The 20,324-nt window shown below is 47.7% G+C and overlaps 1 annotated feature.

Moving 5' to 3' along the window:
• Positions 16,353-16,852: an enhancer, noted in NCBI's record as "H3K4me1 hESC enhancer chr4:49580519-49581018 (GRCh37/hg19 assembly coordinates)". NCBI's record gives its function as "activates a minimal SCP1, AML or CMV promoter by ChIP-STARR-seq in naive H9 embryonic stem cells {active_cell/tissue: H9 hESC(naive)}" and the evidence as "EXISTENCE:reporter gene assay evidence [ECO:0000049][PMID:30033119]".

Genomic DNA, 20,324 nt, shown 5'->3' on the forward strand with positions numbered 1-20,324 from the left:
ATAGTGTTGAATGACTCAATACTCAATCGTGGACTGTTTCCAGTTCAAGGATACTTTCTACAGCAGAATAATAACACTAGCAAAGAGCTAGTACAAGGATGGTTTTGTGCTCAACTGAAATCCAGCTGAATAGAGAATTGTATAGGAAACAGTTAATATGGTGATAGAATAGAAACAGTAGCAAATGTGAACTAAATCATGCTATGAATGCCTAAACTACTGCTGTAACTTTTGGAAAAATGATAATACCACTTTATTGCTTTTTGAAGAATGAATATTTTAGTGTATATGATCTAGACCTCAAACCCTATAAAGATTCTCAAAGAAGTTGGCTGGATAAAGCCTACTGTGGATGTCTTTATATTCAAAGATTGATGATGCAATTTGAATATGTGTCTCCTCCGAATCTCATGTTGAATTATATTTCCTAATGTGGAAGGTGGATCCTGGCATAAGGTAATTGAATTATGAAGGCAAATTTCTCATGAATGGTTCAGCACCATCCCCTTGTACCGTCCTCACAATAATGAGTGACTTCTCATGAGGTCTGGTCACTGAAAACTCTATGTCACCTCCCTACTCTCCGTGTTTTCCCCTTGCCATGTGAGACAACTAATTCTTTCTTTGCCTTCCATGATTATTGAAAGATTTCTGAGGCCTCCTAGAAGCAGAAGCACTGTGCTTAGAACCATGAGACAATTAAACCTATTTTTCAAAATAAATCATACAGAAAATGGCAAATGAGGACTGGAGCACTGCTATAAAGATACCTGGAAATGTGGAAGCAGCTTTGGAACCCGGTAATGGATGGAGGTTGGAAGAGTTTGGAAGGCTCAAAAGAAGACAGATAGATGAGAAAACTTTTGGACCATCTTAGAGTCTGGCTCAATTGTTGTGACAAAAATCCTGACAGAAACATGGACAATGAAGACCAGACTGAGGAGGTCTCAGAGAGAAATAAGCTTTCTGGAAAATGTCTTTATTTTGGATATGGAAAGCTTACACAATGCCTGTACCATCATTGTACCTTAGAAGCAGTGAACTTGCTTTTTTCAGAGACTCATAGGCAAAAGAGACTGCAGCCTTGACCCAGATGAGATTTGGATTTTGTAACTTTGAGTTAATCCTGAAATGAGTTAAGACTTTGGGAGACTGCTGGCAAGGCATGATTGTATTTTGCAATGTGAGAAGGACATGAGATTCATGGGGTCAGGGACAGAATAATACGGTTTTTCTCTATGTCCCTACCAAAACTCTTATGGAATTATATTTTGTAATGTTAGAGGCGGGGCCTAGGTGGAAAAAGATTTAGTCATAAAATGGTGCAGGTAGATACTTCACGAATGATAAAGGACCATCACCTTGATGCTATCCTCCTGATAGTGAGTGACTTCTCATGAGATCTGGTTGTTTAACAGGCTGTGGAACCTCTTTCCTCACTCTGTCTTCCTCCTACTCCTGCTTTAGGAGACATCTCATTGTCCCTTGGCTTTCTGATATAACGAGGAGTCTTCCTGATTCCTCCCAGAAACAGAAGACACAATGATTCCTTCACAGCTTGCAGAAACATGAGTCAATTACACGTCTTTTATTTACAATAATACAGAAAATTAGAACTGCAGAGAGGAGCTGTGAAATGTCTTCAAGGCCTTTTTCCCTTTGTCTTGGCTATTAGCACAGGGCTTCTTTATATGCAAATTTCTGAAATCTTCTTGAATGTTTCCCCTTAAATGGGATTTTTGTTATTGCTACCTAGCCAACCTGCTATACAGATAGCTAAAAAAGTAGAAGCAGGCTCAATAGTGGGTAGCAAACAAAGATTGGAAGGGCTTGGAGGGATTAGAGTACTAGAGGGAGTGGGAGGGAGTGATTTAATCATGGATGGGTGGGGGTGGATGTGGAAGGGAAAAAGGGGTGGGTAGGGTGGGAGGGAGTAGACTGGCTGTATGGTGGTGGGAAGGTGGTGGGTAGTAGGAAGGGGGAGTAGCCTGCTGCAGAGGCAGAGCCTCATGGAAAATCCCTACTGGGGAATTGCACCTGTGGCTTTGCAGGTCTGAGCCCCCATGGCTGCTCTCATAGACTGGACTAGTGTTGAGTGCCTGTAGCTTTTCCACACGGAGGGTGCAAGCTGTTGGTGGGTCTATGTATCTGGGGTCTGGAGGGTGGTAGCATGGGGGCTCCAAGTCCATATTTTCCTTCTGCACTGCCCTAGTAGAGGTTTCCCAATAACTCTTCGTCTGCAGGAGGCTACTGCGTGGAAACAGTAGGAGGTGGGTGTGGGAGGCAGATCCTTCACCAATGGTTAGGCAACGTCTTCTTGATGCTGTCCTCATGATAGTGTGTTCTCATGAGATCTGGTTATATAACAGGGGGTGGTAACTCTTTCCTCTCGCAGTCTTGCTTCTACTCCTGCCATTTGAAATATCTCATTGCCCCTTGGCCTTCTGGTATGATTGGGAGGCTTCCTGATCTGATCCTCCCAGAAGCAGAAGCCACTATGCTTCCTTTACAGCCTGCTGTATAGTGAGCCAATTAAACCTCTTTTCTTTATGATCATACAGAAAATCAGTGCTATGAAGTGGAGCCATGAAATGCCTTCAAGGCCCTTTCCCCTTTGTCTTGGCAACCAGCACTCAGCTTCTTTTCATGCAAATATCTGAAGCCTTCGTGAATTTTCCCCCGAAAATGGACTTTTCTGTTTTACCACATTGCCAGGCTCTGATAAAGATAGCTGACAATGTAGAACCAGGTTCAGAGTGAGTAAAAAACAGAGGTCAGAAGAATTGGGAAAGCTTAGAAGACAGCAAGATGAGGAAAATATTGGACCACTATAGAGAATTGTTAAATACTTGTGATCAGAAGGCTGACAAAAGTTTAAACACTGAAGTCCAGACTTAAAAGGTCTCAGATGAAAATGAGGAATTTCCTATTAATAGAAGCCAAGATTACATTTGATTGGCCTTAGCAAAGAAGCTGGCTGCACGGGGACCCTGCCCTGGAGATCTGTGAAACTAGGAACTTGGGGGTGATGATTTAGGATGTATTTGGTGAAATGAACATCTAGGCAGCATAACACAAGAGGTGACCTGTCCGCATTGAACAGCCTGTGTTCTTAAGGGTGACCTAAGAAATGACTTCAAGTTGGAACTTCAAGTGGAGATCTAAAGTTTGGAAAATTTGGAGCCTGGCCAAGTGGTCAAAAAGAAAAGCCGATTTTGAGGGGGAAAATTCAAGAAGGCTTAGGGTATTTGCATAAAAAGGAACCCAGTGCAAATAGCCAAGACAGTTTGAAACCGTCCTTGAAGGTATTTTAGAGAAGTCTGCAGCAGCCCTTGCTGTCACAGGCCCCGGGGCCTAGGAGAGAAGAATGGTTTCCTACTCCAGTCCCATGGCCCTGCTGCTGTGTTCAGCCGCAGGACACTGCTGCCTGCATCTGTGCAGCTCCAGCACCAGCCATGGCTGAAAGACATACAGGTACAGCTCGGGTCATTGCTTCAGAGGTGGCTCAAAGTCTTGAAGGTTTCCATATAGGGTTAAGCCAGTAGGTGCACAGAGAAAGAGACTAGAGGCTTGGGAGCTCCCGTCTAGACTCCAGAAGATGTACAGAAAATCCTGGATGTTCAGGAAGAAGCTTTTCCAAGAGGCAGAGCCTTATGGGGAACCTCTACTAGGGGAGCAAAGAAGGGACATATAAGGTTGAAGCCCCCACACAGGGAGGCATCACTCTCTAAACCCCAGATTCATAGACCCACAAACAGCTTGCACCCCTGGTGTGGAAAAGCTATGGGCACTCAACAACAGCCCTGTCCATGAGAGACAGCCACGGAGGCTGAACGCTGCAAAGCCACAGGGGCAGATCTGCCCAAGGCCTTGGGAGCTCAGCCCTCACAGCCCTGTGCCATGGATATGGGACAAGGATTCAAAAATGATGATTTTGGAGATGTAGCATTGAGTGACTGGCCTGCTGCGTTTTGGACATTTATGTATCCTATGAGTCCCTTCTGTGTTTTGTGCTTCTTTCTAGGAATTATTTTTTTCTGTTGGCTGGGAATGCTTACCCATTGCCTATACAATCCTTGTACCTTGGAAGTAGTAAATTTTCTTTATAATTCAGTGACTCATGGGCAGAAGGGACTGTAAACTTGTCTCAGATAAGACTCTGGGCTTTGGGCCTTTGAGTAAATGCTGGAATGAGTTAAGATTTGAGAGACTCTAGGGAAGGCATCATTGCATTTTGCAATGTGAGAAAGACATGAACTTTGGGGGACCAGGGACAGAATAATATGTTTTGGCTCTCTGTCTCTACCAAAGCTCATGTGGAATATTAATGGGAAATGTTAAAAGTGGGGGCTGGTAGAAGGTGATTTCATCATGGTGAAGAGTGGAGGATGGATGGTTGGGGGGCGGGGAGGGTTGGGGGATTGGGGGGCGAGGAGGGTTGGAGGGGATTGGGGGTTGGGAGGGTTGGAGGGGATTGTGGTGGGGTTGGGGGTGAAAGGCATGGGTGGGGGTGGATCCTTCACAAATGGTTAAACACCATCTCCTTAATGCTGTCCTTCTGATAGTGAGTTCTCTTCATGAGTTTGGAGCTGTGAGATTGAATGAACACTGACCTACTGTATTTTGGATGTCCATTGGGCCTGTGGCCCCATTTGTGTTATTTTTCTTGGAAATTTCTTTCCTTTGGATTGAGAAAGCTTACCCAGTACCTGTACCATCATTGTACCTTGAAAGAAACAAACACCCTTTTAGCTTCAGGGAATCATAGGCAGAAGAAACTGTAGCGTTGTCTCAGATGAGACTTTGAACTTTTTACATTTGAGTTAATGCAGGAAGGAGTTAAGGCTTTTGGAAACTTTTGAAAAGGTATGAATGTATTTTATTCTGTGAGAAGGATATGAGGTTTGGGGGGTCAAGGTCAGCATAGTATGATTTGGCTGTGTGCCCCTGGAAAAACTGATGTGGAATTGTAATGCCAAATGTTGGAGGCAGGACCTGGTGGGAGATTATTTAATCATGGATGGGAGGGGTAGGGGTGGAAAAAAATGGGGTGGGTAGGGTGGGGAAGAGTAGGCTGGCTGTAGGGTGGTGGGAGGGTGGTGGGTAGTAGGAAGGGGGAGTAGACTGCTGCAGAGGCAGAGGCTCATGGAAACCTCTAGCAGGGCAGTGTGCCTGTGGCTTTGCAGGCTTTAGCCCCCATGGCTTCTCTCATGGGCTGGGCTGGTGTTGAGTACCTATCACTTTTCCATACTGAGGGTGTGAACTGTTGGTAGGTCTAGGAATCTGGGGTCTAGAGGATGGTGGCCTCCTGCATAGTCACTCAAAGCCCTTATTTTCCTTCCGCACTGCCATAGTACAGGATTCCCAAGAGCCTCTGCCTCTGCAGCAGACTTCTGTCTGGAACACTAGGAGGTGGAGCTGTGTTGGGGGGCGGATCCTTCACCAATGGTTAAGCACCATCTTCTTGATGCTGACCTAGTGATAGTGAGTCCTCGTGAGATCTGGTTATATAACGGTGTGGCACCTCTTTCCTCTCTCAGCCTTGCTCTTACTCCTGCCGTATGAAACATTTCATTGCTGTTTTCCTACTGGTATGATTGGGAGTCTTCCTGAGTCCTCCCAGAAGCAGAAGCCACTATGCTTTCTTTACAGCCTGCAGAACCATGAGCCAATTAAACCCCTTTTCATTATGATCATACAGAAAATAAAGTACTGTGAAGTGGAGCTATGAAATATCTGCAATGACATTTCCCCCTCGTCTTGGCTATTAGCACTGGACTTCTTTTTAATGCAAATATCTGAAGCCTTTTGAAGTTTCCCCCTGAAAATGGACTTCTTTTTCTTCTACATTGCCAGGCTGCAATAAAGATAGCTGAAAATGTAAAGCAGGTTCAGAAGTGGGTAAAAGCCAGAGGTTGGAGAGTTTGGAGAGCTTGAAAGAAGACAGGAAGATGAAAGAAATTTTGGACCATAGTAGGCACTTGTTGAATAGTTGTGATTAAAAGGCTGGCAGAAGGATGGACAGTGAAGGCCAGGCTTACAAGGTCTCAGATGAAAATGAGGAAATTACTGGGAACAGGAGCCAAGGTTACTTTTGTTTTGCTATAGCAAAGAACATGGCTGCAGGGCGACCTTGCCCTCGAGATCTGTGAAACTTTGAACTTGAGGGTGATGATTTAGTACATATCTGGTGGAATGAACTTCTAGGCAGCATAGCACAAGGGGGATCCTGTCTGCATCAAACAGCCTGTGCTCTTGTGTGACCGAGGTTATGTGTGACCGAGGAAATGACCTCAAGTTGGAACTTACATTTAAAAATGACAAGCAGAGCTCAAAAGTTTGGAACATTTGCAGCCTGGCCAAGTGGTCAAAAAGAAAAGCTGATTTTCGGGGGAAAATTCATGAAGGCTCCAGAAATTTGCAGAAAATGGAGGCCAGTGCTAATAGCCAAGACAATGGGGGAAAAAGCCTTGGAGGCATTTCAGAGATGTTTACAGCAGCATTTACTGTCACAGACCCTGGGGCCTAGGAGAGAATAATGGTTTCCGGGGCCAGCCCCATGGCCCTGCTGCTGTGTGCAGCCTCAGGACACTGCTGCCTGCATCCCAGAAGCCCAGCTCCTGCTCCGACCTTGGCTGAAAGATACACAGCTACAGATTGCATCACTGCTTCAGAGGGTACAAGCTATAAGGCTTCATGGCTTCCACATAGTGTTAAGCCAGCGAGTCCATAGAGCACTAGCCCAGAGGCTTCGGAGCCCTCATATAGATTTTGGAAGATGTACGAAAATGCTTGGGTGTCCAGACAGAAGGCTGCCAAAAAGCAGAGCCTCTTGGGAAACCTCTACTAGGGCAGTGCAGAAGGAAAATATGGGGTTGGAGCCCTCACACCGGAGGCCACCATCATGCAGACCCCAGACTCATAGACCCACCAAGAGCTTTGTACCCTCTGTGGGTGAAAACTACAGGCACTCAACACCAGCACAGCCCATGAGGGCAGCTGTGGGGACTGAAAACTGCAAAGCCACAGGTGCAGACCTGCCCAAGGCCTTGGGAGCCCAGCCCTCATGCCCTTGTGCCCTGGATGTGGGGCAAGGATTAAAAAAGGATGACTTTGGAGCTGTAGGTTTTAATAACTGGCCTGCTGGGTTTTGGATTTTCATGGGACCTGTAAGTCCCATTTGTGTTTCATTGCTTCTCTGGCAAAAATCTTCCTTTAGGGTGGGAATTCTTACTCAATGCCTGGACAATCATACCTTGGAAGTAGTTAACTTGCTTTGTATTTCAGAGGCTCAGGAGCAGAAGGGACAGCATCTTTGTCTCAGATGACACTTTGGGCTTCAGACATTTAAGTAAATGCTGGAATGAGTTAAGACGTTGGGGGTTTTAGCCAAGACGATGGGGAAAAGTCATTAAAGGCGTTTCATAGCTTCACTTCACAGTACTAATTTTCTGTATGATCATAACAAAAAGGGGTTTAATTGGCTCATCGTTCTACAGGCTATAAAAAAAAGCATAGTGGCTTGGGGAATGGTAAGTAAGGCATCACTGTATTTTGCAAAGTGAGAAGGACATGAGATTTGGGGAGGCAGGGACAGAAGAATAAGATTCGGCTGTGTGTCCCTATGGAAACTCATGTGGAATTGTAATCAGAAATGTTAAAATTGGGGCCACGTGGAAGGTGATTTAATCATGGAGGGCACTGGGTGTTGGAAGGTGGAGATTGAGGATGATGGGTGGATTATGCTGGGGGTGAGGGGTGAAAAGTGGGGGTGGGGGGATGATCCCTCACAAGTAGTTAAACACCATCTCCTTAATCCTTTCCTCATGATGGTGAGTTCTCGTGACGGTTTTGGAGCTGTGAGATTGAATGGATACTGGCCTCCTGGGTTTTGGACTTGCGTTGGCCCTGTGATCACATTTGTGTTATTTTCCTGGCAAACTTCTACCCTTTGGATTGAGAAAACTTACCCAATGCCTGTACCATCATTGTACCTTGAAAGAAAAGAACTCACTTTTAAATTCAGGGACTTATAGGCAAAAGGGACTGTAGCCTTTTCTCAGGTGAGACGTGGAACTTTTTACATTCGAGTTAATGCTGAAATGACTTAAGACTTTTGGCAACTTTTGAAAAGGCATGATTGTATTTTACTCTGTGAGAAGGATATGATATTTGGGGGATCAGGGTCAGAATAGTGTGATTTAGCTGCGTGTCCCTACCTAAACTCACATGTAATTGTAATCCTGAATGTTGCAGGTGGGGCCTGGTGGGAAGTGACTTATTCATGGATGGGAGAGGGGTGGGGTTGGAAGTAAAAACAGGTGGGTAAGGTGGGGAGGCGTAGGCTGGCTGTAGGGTGGTGTGTAGCAGGAGGGGAGTAGCCTGCCACAGAGGCAGAGGCTCATGGAAAACCTCTACTAAGGCAGTGCACCTGTGGCTTTGCAGGGTTTAGCACCTGCAGCTGCTCTCATGGGCTGGGCTGCTGTTGAGTGCCTGAAGCTTTTCCATACTGGGGGTGTGAGCTGTTGGTAGGTCCATGACTCTTGGGCTGGAGGATGGTGGCGTGGGGGCTCCAAGCCCATATTTTCCTTTTGCACTGCCCTAGTAGAGGTTTTCCAGGCGGATCTGTCTCTGCCTCAGGCTTTTGCTTGGAAACAGTGGGTAGTGGATATGGGGTGGTGGGCGGATCCTTCACCAACAGTTAAGCACCATCTTGATGCTGATCTTCTGATAGTGAGCTCTCATGAGATCTAGTGGTATAACTGGATATTGCACTTCTTTCCTCTCTCTGTCTTGCTTCTACTCCTGCCATATGAAACATTTCATTGCTGCTTGGCCTTCTGGTATAATTGGGAGGCTTCCTGAGTCCCCCTACAAGCAGAAACCACTATGCTTTCTTTACAGCCCGAAGAACTGTGAGTCAATTAGACCTCTTTTCTTTATGTAGATACAGAAAATTAATGCTGTGAAGTGAAGTTATGAAATGACTTCGAGGAATTTCCCCCATTCTCTTGGCTATTAGCACTGAGCTTTTTTCAGTGCAAATATTGGAGGCCATCTTGATGTTTCCGCCTGATAATGGACTTTTCTTCTTTTACCACATTGCCAGGCTGCAGCAAAGATAGCTGACAGTGTAGACGCAGGTTCCAAATTGGGTAGTGGCCAGAGGTTAGAGAGTTTGGAGAACTTGGAAGAAGACAGGAAGATGAGGGAAAGTTTGGACCATTGCAGAGACTTATTAAATAGTTGTGAGTAAAAAGCTGACAGAAGGATGGACAGTGAAGACCAGCCTTGTAAGGTCTCAGATGAAAATGAGGAACTTACTGGGAAAAGGAGCCAAGGTTTTTTTGTTTTGACTTAGCAAAGTAATTGGCTACACAGTGACCCTTCCCGGGAGATCTGTGAAACTGAACTCGAGGGTGATAATTTAGGGTGTATTTGGTGGAATGAACTTCTAAGCAGCAAAGTTCAAGAGTTGTACTGCCTACATCGAACAGCCTGTGCTCCTATGTGTGGTGAAAGAAATGACCATAAGTTGGAACTTATATTTAAATGAGAAACAGAGCTTCAACATTTGGAAAATTTGTAATCTGGACAAGTGGTAAAAAAGAAAAGCTGATTTTCAGGGGGAAAATCAAGAAGGCTTAGGATATTTGCATAAAAAGGAGCCCAATGCTAATAATTCAAGACAATGGGAAAAAGGCCTTGAAGGCATTTCAGAGACCTTTGTAGCAGTCCTTGCTGTCACTGGCCCTGGGGTTTAGGAGAAAAGAATAGTTTCCTGGCTCAGCCCCATGGCTCCACTGCTGTGTGCAGCCTCAGGACACTACTGCCTGCATCCCTGCAGCTCCTTTTCCAGCTTCAGCCATGGATGAAAGATGTACAGGTACAGCTTGCATCACTGCTTCAGAGGATGCAAGCTCCAAGCCTTGGTGGCTTCTACATAGTGTTAAGCCAGCAGGTGCATAAAGCACAGGACTAGAAGCTTCAGAGCCTTCGTCTGGACTCCAAAGAATATATCAGAAAGCCTGAGTGTCTAGCCAGAAGCTTTTCCAAGAGGCAGAGCCTCATGGTAAATCTCTACTCAGGTAGTACACAAGGAAAGTATAGGGTTGGAGTCCCCATAGAGGGAGGCACCATTTTCCAGACCTCAGTTTCATAGACCCACCAGCTGCTTGCACCCTTAGTGTTGAAAAGCTACAGGTACTCAACGCCAGCCTAGCCAATGAAGTCAGCTGTAGGGGGAAGATTCTGCAATGCCACATGTGCAGAGCTGCCCAAGGCCTTGGGATCCCAGCCATCACAAAACGCTGTGCTCTGGATGTGGACATAGATTCCAAAAAGATGATTTGGAGCTGTATGATGGAATGCCTGGCCTGCTGGGTTTTTGACTTGCAGGGGGTTTGTAAGTCCCATCTGTGTTTTGTGCTTCTTTCTGGGAAATTTCTTCTTTTTGGCTTGGAATGCTTACCCAATGCCTGTACAATCATTGTAACTTGGAAGTGGCTAACTTGCTTTGTATTTCAGAGGCTCAGGGCAGAAGATATGGCAGCCTTGTCTCAGAGGAGACTTTGGCCTTTGGACATTTGAGTAAATACTGGGATGAGTTAAGATTTGGGGGACTCTAGGGAAGGCCTCATTGCATTTTGCAATGTGAGAAAGACATGAACTTTGGGGGACCAGGGACAGAATAATATGTTTTGGCTCTGTGTCTCTACCAAAACTCATGTAGAATTTTAATGGGAAATGCTAAAGGTGGGGGCTGGTGGAAGGTGAGTCAATCATGGTGAAGAGTAGAGGTTAGATGGTTGGGGGGTGGGGAGGGTTGGGGGGATTAAGGGGTGGGGAGGGTTGGGGGCGATTGTGGTGGGGTTGGGGGTGAAAGGCAGGGGTAGGGGGTAGGTCCTTCACAAATGGACATTTGAGTAAATGCTGGAATGAGTTCAGACACTGGGGGACTGTAGAGAATGCATCATTGTATTTTGAAGTATGAGAAGGATGTGAGATTGGGGGGCCAAAGGGAGAATAATACGATTTGGCTCTGTGTCCCTACCAAAACTCATGTGGAATTATAATAGGGAATGTTAAGTGTGGGGCTTGGTAGAAGGTGATTTAATCATGGTAGAGAATGGGGGTTGGAAGGGGGATGTGGGAGAATGGAGGTTCATGGTGTGGGTGAGGGTGAAACATGGGGATAGGTGGCAGATCCTTCACAAATGGTTAAATACTATCTCCTTAATGCAGTCTGTGTGATAGTGAGTTCTCGTGATAAATGAATGCTGTCCTGCTGGGTTTTGGAGTCAGATTGGGCCTGTGTCCCATTTGTGTTATTTTTCTGGGAAAACCTTCCCTTTGGTTTAAGAAAGCCTACCCAGTGCCTGTGCCATCATTGTAACTTGAAAGAAAAGAATTGTCTTTTACATTCAGGGACTCATAGGCAGAAGGGATTGCAGCCTTGTCTTGGATGAGACTTGAACTTACTACATTTGAGTTACTGCTGGAATGAGTTAAGACTTTTTGAAACTTTTGAAAAGGCATGTTTGTATTTTTCTGTGTGAGAAGGACATGAGATGTGGGGGTGTCAGGGTCAGGATAGTATGGTTTGGCTGTGTTTCCCTACAAAAACTCATGGGGAATTGTATTCCTGACAGTTGTAGGTTGGGCCTGGTGGGAGGTGATTTAATCACAAACGGGAGGTTGGTAGGGGTGGAAGGGAAAACAAATGGGTAGGATGAGGAGGAGTAGGCTGGCAGTAGGGTAGTGAGAGGTTCGTGGGCAGTAGTAAGGGGGAGTAGCCTGCTGCAGAGGCAAAGCCTCAAGAAAAACCTCCACCAGGGCAGTGCACCTATGGCTTTGCAGGGTGTAGCCCCCATGGCTGCCCTCATAGGCTGGGCTGTTGTTGAGTGCCTGTAGCTTTTCCATACTGAGAGTGCAAGCTGTTGGTGAGTCTATGAATCTGGGGTCTGAGGATGGTAACCTCCTGTGTGGGGCCTCCAAGCCCATATACTTTTTCTGCTCTGCCCTATTAGAGGTTTTCCTAGTGGCTCTGCCTCTTCCTCAGGCTTCTGCCTGGAAACAGTGAGGGGTGTGGGTGGTAGGAGGCAGAACTTTCACCAATGGTTAAGAAACATCTTCTTGATACTCACCTTGTGATAGTGAGTTCTCAGGAAATCTGGTTGTATAACAGGGTTATACAACGTGCGGCACCTTTTTCCTCTCTCTGTTTTGTTTCTACTTCTGCCATATAAAACATCCCATTGCTGCTTGGTCTTCTGGTATGATTGGGATGCTTCCTGAGTCCTTCCAGAAGCAGAAGCCTCTATGATTTATTTAAAGCTTGCAGAACCATGAGCCAGTTCAACCTCTTTTCTTTCTGATTATACAGAAAAATAATGCTATAAAGTGGAACTATGAAATGCCTTCAAGGACTTTTTCCTATTCTCTTGGCAATCAGCACTCAGCTTCTTTTCAGGCAAATGTCTGAAGCCTGCATTAATTTTTCTCCTGAAATGGACTTTTCTTCTTTTACCACATTGCCAGGCTGTGACAAACGTAGCTGAAAATGTAGAAGCAGGTTGAGAAGTGTGTAATGGCAAGAGGTTGGAGAGTTTGGAGGTCTTGGAAGAAGACAAGAAGATGAGGAAAAGTTTGGATCAGTGTAGAGACTTGTTAAATAGTTATAATTAAAAAGGTGACAGAAGGATGGACAGTGATCACCAGGCTTAGAAGGTCTCACATGAAAATGAGGAGCTTGCTGGGAACAGGAGTCAAGGTCACTTTTGTTTTTTCCTTAGCAAAGGATGTTGCTGCACAATGCCCCTAACCTGGAGACCTGTGAAATTTTGAACATCAGGGTGATAATTTAGAGTGTACTTGGTGGAATGAAATTTTAGGCAGCAAAGCTTAAGAGGTTTCCTGTCTGTGTCGAACAGCCTGTGGTCCTATATGTGACCAAAGAAATGACCTCAAGGTGAAACTTGTATTTAAATGAGAAGGAGAGCTTAAAAGTTTGGATAATTTGAAGCCTGGCCAAGTGGCCAAAAAGAAAAGCTGATTATCAGTGGGAAAGTTCAAAAAGTCTTCAGAAATGTGCATAAAAAGGAGTTCAGTGCTAATAGCCAATACAATATTAAAAAGGTCTTGAAGGCATTTCAGAGACTTTTGCAGCAGCGCTTGCTATCACAGGCCCTGAGGTCTGGGAGAAAAGAATGGTTTCCTTCTCCAGCCCCATGGCCCCACTGCTATGTCCAACCTCAGGACACTGCTGGCTGCATTCCTGAGGCTCCAGCTCCAGCCTTGGCTGAAAGATGCACAGGTACAGCTTGGGTCACTGCTTCAGAGGGTGCAAGCTTCAAGGCTTGGTGGCTTCCACATTGTGTTAAGCCAGCAGCTGCACACAGCACAAAACTAGACGCTTGCAAGCCTTTGTCTAGACTCCAGAGTATGTACGGAAAAACCTGGGTGTTCACACAGAATCTTTTCCAAGAGGCAGAGCCTCGTGGGAAACTTTTACTAGGGCAGTACAGAAGGAGAATTTAGGGCTGGAGTCCCTAAATATGGAGGCACCATTCTCCAGACTCCAGATTCATAGACTCACCAACAGCTGGCACCCTTAGTATGGAAATGCTACAGGCACTCAACATCAGCCCAGCCCATGAGGGCAGCTGTGGGGTATAGACCCTGCACAGCCACAGGTGCAGAGCTGCCCAAGGCCTTGGAAGCCCAGGCATCACACACCTGTGCTCTAGATGTGAGATGTAGATTCAGAAAAGATGATTTGGAGCTGTAGGATTCAATGACTGGCCTGCTGGGTTTTTGACTTGCATGGGGTCTGTAAGTCCTTGTACATTTCAGTAAATGCTGGAATGAGTTAAGTCATTGGGGGACAGTAGAGAAGTCATCAGAGTATTTTGCAGTGTAACAAGGATACAAGATTTGGGGAGCAAGAGCCAGAATAATATGATTTGGTTCTGTGTCCCTACCAATGCTCATGTGGAATTGTAGTGGGGAATGTTAAAGGTGGGACCTGGTGGGAGGTGATTTAATCATGGAGAAGAGTGGGTGTTGGAGGTAGGGGTATGGGGAGAATGGGAGAGATTATTTTGTGGGTGGGAGTGAAAGGTGAGGGTGGGGGGCAGATTCTTCACAAATGAGTAAATACTATCTCCTTAATGCTGTCCGCACTACAGTGAGTTCTCTTGATGATTTTGGAGCTGTGAGATTGAGTGAATACTGTCCTGCTGGGTTTTGGACTTGCATTTGTGTTATTTTTCTGGGCAACTTCTTCCCTTTGGATTGAGAAACCTTACCCAATGCCTGTCCTACCTTGAAGGAAAAGAAATCCCTTTTAAATTCAGGGACTCATTGGCAGAAGGGACTGTAACCTTGTCTCAGATGAGATTTTGAAATTTTTACATTCGGAATGAGTTAAGACTTTTGGAAACTTTTGAAAAGGCATGATTGTGTTTTGCTCTGTGAGAAGGACATGAGGTTCTGGGGAATCAGGGTCAGAATAATATGGGTTGGCTGTGTGTCCCTATAAAACTCACGTGTCATCCTTAATGTTGGAGGTGGGCCATGTGAGAGGTGACTTAATCTTGGATGGGAGGGAGTTGGGGTAGAAGGAAAAGGAGGGATAGTGTGGGGAGGAGTAGGTTGTCAGTAGGGTGGTGGGAGGGTGGGAGTAACCTGCTGCAGAGGCAGAGGCTCATGGGAAACCTCTACTAGGAGAGTGCACCTGTGGCTTTGCAGGGTGTAGCCCCCATGGCTGCTCTCATGGGCTGGGTTGGTGTTGAGTGCCTGTAGCTTTTCCATACTGAGAGTGTGAGCTGTTGGTGGGCTTATTAATCTGGAGTCTGGAGGATCGTGGCCTCTTGTGTGGGGGCTCAAAGCCTATATTTTCCTTCTGCACTGCCATAGTGGAAGTTTCATAAGAGGTTCTGCCTCTGCAGGAGGCTTCTGCCTGGAAGCATTGGGCAGTGGTGTGGTTGGAGAATCCTTCACCATTGGTTAGTCTTCTTGATGCTGATCTCCTGATAGTGAGTTCTCATGTGATCTGGTTGTCTAACAGGATGTCACACCTCTTTCCCCTCTCTGTCTTGCTCCTACTCCTGCCATATGAAACATCTCATTGCCTCTTGGTCTTCTGATATGGTTAGGAGGGGCCTGATCAGTGTGGGCCTGCTCAGTGGACCTAGTCAGTTGGGACTTGTCAGTGAGGCCTATTTAGTGGGGGGTGGTCAGCAGGGGTCTGCTTAGAGTGGGTCTCATTAGAGGGATCTAGTAGTGCATGTCTTGGTGAGTGGGTTGATAGTGGTAGACAAATGTTTGGTGTCTGGTCAGTGCCAACCTGGGCTGTGGGACTTGGTCAGTGGAGACCTTGGGACCTAGTCAGCAGAGACGCTTGTCAGTGGGGCCCTGGTCAGGGCAGGCTGGTCCGTGGAACTTAATCAGTGGGGGCCTGGTCAGAGAGGACTTGATCATTGGTGGCTTTTGTAGCACTGGTCTATGGGGTGACCTGGTCAGCAGGGATCTGAGCAGTGTGTGCCTGTTCAGTGGGGTGTAGTCATTAGGGTCCCAGTCAGGGGCATCTTGTCACCTCAGTCCTGGTTAGCAGGGGCCTGGTCACTGGCTGCCTGTTCCCTGCAGGCCTGGTCAGTGGGGCTTCGTCTGTGGGACCAGACAATGGAGTCATGATAGGTGGAACCTGATCAGTGAGGCCTTGTCAGTAAGGACCTCGTCAGTGAGGCCTTGCCAGTGAGGCCTTGTCAGTAAGGTCCTCGTCAGTGGAGTCCTGGTCATTGTGGGCCTGGCAGCGGGAATCTAGTTAGTGAGGCCTGGTGATGGGGCTCTAATCAGTGAGGGTGTGGTCAGGGAGGAAGTGATATGCTGGATCTGGTCACCAGGGACCTGGTCAATGGGGGCTGCTGAGTACTGCTGGGAGATGTCAGGAGAAATGCATGTTATCAAGGAGCCTGTGGACAGCTGGGGTGGCCCAGTGGTGTTCAATGGCCCAGTCAAAAGTGGACAAAGCAGGTGTTTGGATGGACCTGGGAGATCTTGCTCAGAGATTCTGACAGGACAAAGGTAAAGGAAGGGCCAGAGTGGTTGGAGAGATAGTCACAGTCTATGGTCTGCACAGGATGGAGGAGGCCAGGGAACAGGCAGGGTGGGCAGCTTGGTTTCAGTGAGAGGCAGGTGCATGCTGGGAGGTCAGACCCTATGAGGGTTGTGGGGGCGTCAGGTGGTGTGGGCTCCAGGTGCACCCTCAGCGCACTGGGCAGGTCTTGGCCCAGGCTCCTTGGACTTTGGCCGGGTGATGTGGTCACTTGCTGGGAGACTGTTGTCAGGTGCTGGCCACCCACCCTGGGTAGCACTGTCCCATCTCAGGACTGGACTTCCTCAGATACTGTAGAGGGCACAGCCTCCAGCCCAGGAGGGGCAGCCCCTTGGTGCAGCCTGAGCTCCCCATGGGCCTGGAGCATCCCCTGCCAGCCCTGCACTCCCTCTTCTCCCAGGTCCCGCTTTTCCAGGGTCAGCCAGTGGGGAGGCCCCGTCCTCACTTCCCTATGTGTCTCCTGGGCTGAAACTTGCAGTGCACTGGGACAGGGATGAGGCTTCTCTAAGGCCCATTTAGGGAGAGGACTGGCTCCCAGCCTGGCACAGGTCCTCAGCTCTGCCTTGGTTGCCTTAGAATGTGATGTATCAGTCAGTGCCCTGAAGGTAAAAGTAGGAGACTGTCCCTGCTGTTGGGAGGCTGGTCTAGGGATGGAGGACTTCACAGGTCCTCCAAGTCTGTCAGGCCTGGGCATCACTGTCCTGTTTTAGGACTCAGAAAGTCCAGTTCTGGGATGGGACGGTGCTGCCCAGGGAGGGTGGCCAGGGTCTGACAGCAGTCCCCCAGGGAGTGACCATATCACCCAGCCGGGGTCCAGGGAGCCTGGCCTGAAACCTGCCCTGTGCACTGAGGGTGCACCTGGAGCCCACTCCACCTGATGCCTCCACAGCCCTCACAGGTCCTGACCTCCCAGCATGCACCTGCCTCTCCCTGAATTCCAGCTGTCCACCCTGCCTGTTCCCTCACTTCCTCCATCCTGTCCAGCAGGATGGGATGGGCATGGGGACAGCCTGTGTGCACATTTCATGGCAAGCAGGAGTGACACACCATCCCTGGGAGGCGCCTTGGTTCCTCCAAAACCCGGCCCCAGAACTCTGTCCTTGGGGTGGTTTTACCAAACCCCAAACCCAGAACTGTGGTTGTGGCTCAGGGGTCAGCACCCGCTAGTTCTACAATGTCGCCAAGGACTTTGATTGTACAATGTTCTTCTTTTCAATAGTCTTTCCAAATATTGTGAGATGCATTGTTTCAGGAAGCCCCTTGCCCTCCTAAAAGCCACCCTACTTCTCTCTAAGGAGAATGGCGCAGTCCTCTCCCGAGTTCACACATGGTAGGCGATAGCATTGCTTTTGTGTAAATTATGTAATGCAAAATTTTTTAAATCTTTGCCTTAATACTTTTAAATTTTGTTTTATTTTGAATGACTAGCCTTCATGGCCCCACTTTTTTGTACCCCAACTTGGAATGTATGAAGGGTTTTGGTCTCCCTGAGAGTGGCTCGAGGCAGCCAGGGCTTACCTGTACTCTGACTTGAGAAAAGTTGGATAAAAATGTTCACCTTAAAGAAAATTGAATGACGAAGCATTAACAAAAACAGTATTTCAGTACAGTGGACAGCTTAGCATTTTGACAATTGGGAATAAAATGCTCATTTCTGAACTGTACAATGTAAGACACAAAAACAAAACACTGGAAATGGAAATTCAATTATGTCATTATAGACTGGCTACTGCTCTACATGACTGTGACCAAAGTCAGATAGTTGAAAGAGATTTCTTTCCAGAGAACAAGACATGAACAGGTTTATTTACAGAAAACAATGAATTCTCATATATCTAACCTAAAATATAGCAGATTCTTTCCGAAGAAGTCTAATGTAGACAATAAAATTAACAGGCTAAAAATTAAGCTCCATCAAACAAGATGAACTCTGAGAGAATAGATGGGGCAGGCCGCCATCTTTCCTGTTCAGGCAACTTAGTCATTCCAGCCTGAGGGCTTTGGAGAGTATAAACCGACAAGGGGCAGAAGAGATCCCACAGCACAGCATAGCTGCTTTACCAAATCATGGCCAGAATGGTTCTGTAAGCAGGCCCCCGACCCTGTCGCACATCACTGTACAGGACCTCCCAAATGGGGCCTCCAGCTACCGCCACCAGCATTCCTTGGCCAATAGAAATTTGAAGTGTTCACGGGACAGAGCTCCCAGAGAGAGGGGCAGGCCACCACCTTTGCTGTTTGGGTGACTAGCCGTTCTGGTTTGCGGGCTTTGGAAAGCCCAAGGTGACAAGGGGTGGAAGAGGAACCTCAGCTAAGCATGGCCACACTACAAAAACGTGGCCAGACTCTTGTTTAAGTCAGTCCCCGACCACATTTCTAATCAGCAGGTGAAGCCTTTCAACTAGGGTCTCCAGCTGCCTTCACTGCTGTTCTCTGTCCGACAGAGGTTTCAGGCCTCCCTGAGTCAGAGCTCCCAGGGGGAGGACCAGACTGTTGTCTTTGCTGTTGGGGCAACTCAGCCATTTCAGCATTAGGGCTTCAGAGTGTCTGAGGCAACCAGGAGTGGAAGTGAACACCCGGCATAGCACAGCTGCTCTAGAAAAACGTGCCCAGACTTCTTTTTTAAGTCAGTGCCTGTTTTTGTTCTTCCTGACTAGATAAGACTTCTCAACTTGTCTCCAGTCACATCTTATAGGTGTGTTCATACTGGCAACAAGTTCGTACCTCAGTGGCACAGAGCTCCCAGAGGAAGGGGCAGGCTATCATCTTCCCTGGAAAATACAAGGCAAATAGGGACTGGAGGGACCCCCAGCATACCACAGCAGCCTGACAGAAAAGTGGCCGGACAGTCTACTTGATGGACAAGTCCTCCTGGCCTGGGTCTCCAGCCAGTCCACCATTGGAGCTTTCAAGCCAGTAGCAACTCAGCAATTCCCTGGACAGAGCTTCCAGGAGCAAAGGAAATTCCCTCTGCCACTGTCTCTGCAGTGGAACTGCCCTTGCTACCCTCAGAATATCAAGGGAGCAAAGACCCTAAGTGCCATATCGACACCTCCAATAAGCTGCAGTTGACCCAACGAACAAGCCAGTCCATCTCCCACGGGTACCACACACCCCACACTGCTCATCACCAGAGAGGGAACCCTGGCTTGGGCTTACAACACAGACCCTCCATCCTGGGCTGATTACGCTAAGTGATTGCTAACTCACATCTCTCCGGGATGGAGCACCTAGGAGACAAGCAGAGTGGTGGAGCAGCAAGTCAGGTGATGTGGAGCCCAGAGGGCAGGGACAGCTATCTCTCTAGGCTCCACTTGCCCTTGTGAGACACTTTATCCCAGCACTTTAGGAATGCTAAGCTCAGATCAGCCCCATCTCATGTTCAAGATTGCCCAGCAGAGATCAGGTCCCAGAGTTCGCCTCTTAAAAAAGGGGACTTGCTTAAAAAAGAAGACTGGCCATGTTTGTGTAAAGCAGCTATGCTGTGCTGGGGGTTCACTTTTGAGGGAGTTCTCCTCTGAGACCTGATCTCTGCTGGGCAGTCTTGCCCATGAGATGGGGCTGGTCTGATCTCAGCACTCCTTAGTCTGCTTGCCTCTCCCAGGACCCCAGCCTGGCCACACCTGCTTACAGGGCACTCTCGGATGCCCACAGCATAGCTTCCGTGCTAGTGGACCGTAGCTGATCAGTGGAGAGCTGCAGCAAGGTTGCCCCAACAGCCACGCACCAGTCTGCACATTACCTCTCCATACTGCAGCCCTTTATATGGAAACATCCTACATCACTTTGCTGTGTGTGTTTACACATGTGGGTTTTGCTGTACTTGCCCTGAGAGCACACGGGAGTGCAGCACACACACCAACCCACACCAACTGCCATTGAAGACAGAGCCTTGGTGGGCACAGAACCAAGAACCCCACCCCTGCCAGCACCTCACCCTTGAGCTAATGCTGTGCAGAGAAAAAGGGACCTTCTTATACCCTGAGCGACCACTGTTTGTTTGAGGGGCACAGAGAAGGCACCATGGTCTGCACTGGCCAGCAGCTCACCCTGAACCAACACTACCTCCAGTGCAACACACACACAGCAGGGGAGCCCTGGCCCACACCCCAGCTGTCTTGCCTCCACCACTGGGTGAACGCCCGCAGGGAGGAAGGGAATTTTGCATCCACTCGCATTCCGCCACAGTTGCCACACTTCGGTCCCC

The sequence above is a fragment of the Homo sapiens genome, chromosome 4 (assembly GCF_000001405.40).
Source record: "Homo sapiens chromosome 4, GRCh38.p14 Primary Assembly".
NCBI lineage: Eukaryota > Metazoa > Chordata > Mammalia > Primates > Hominidae > Homo > Homo sapiens.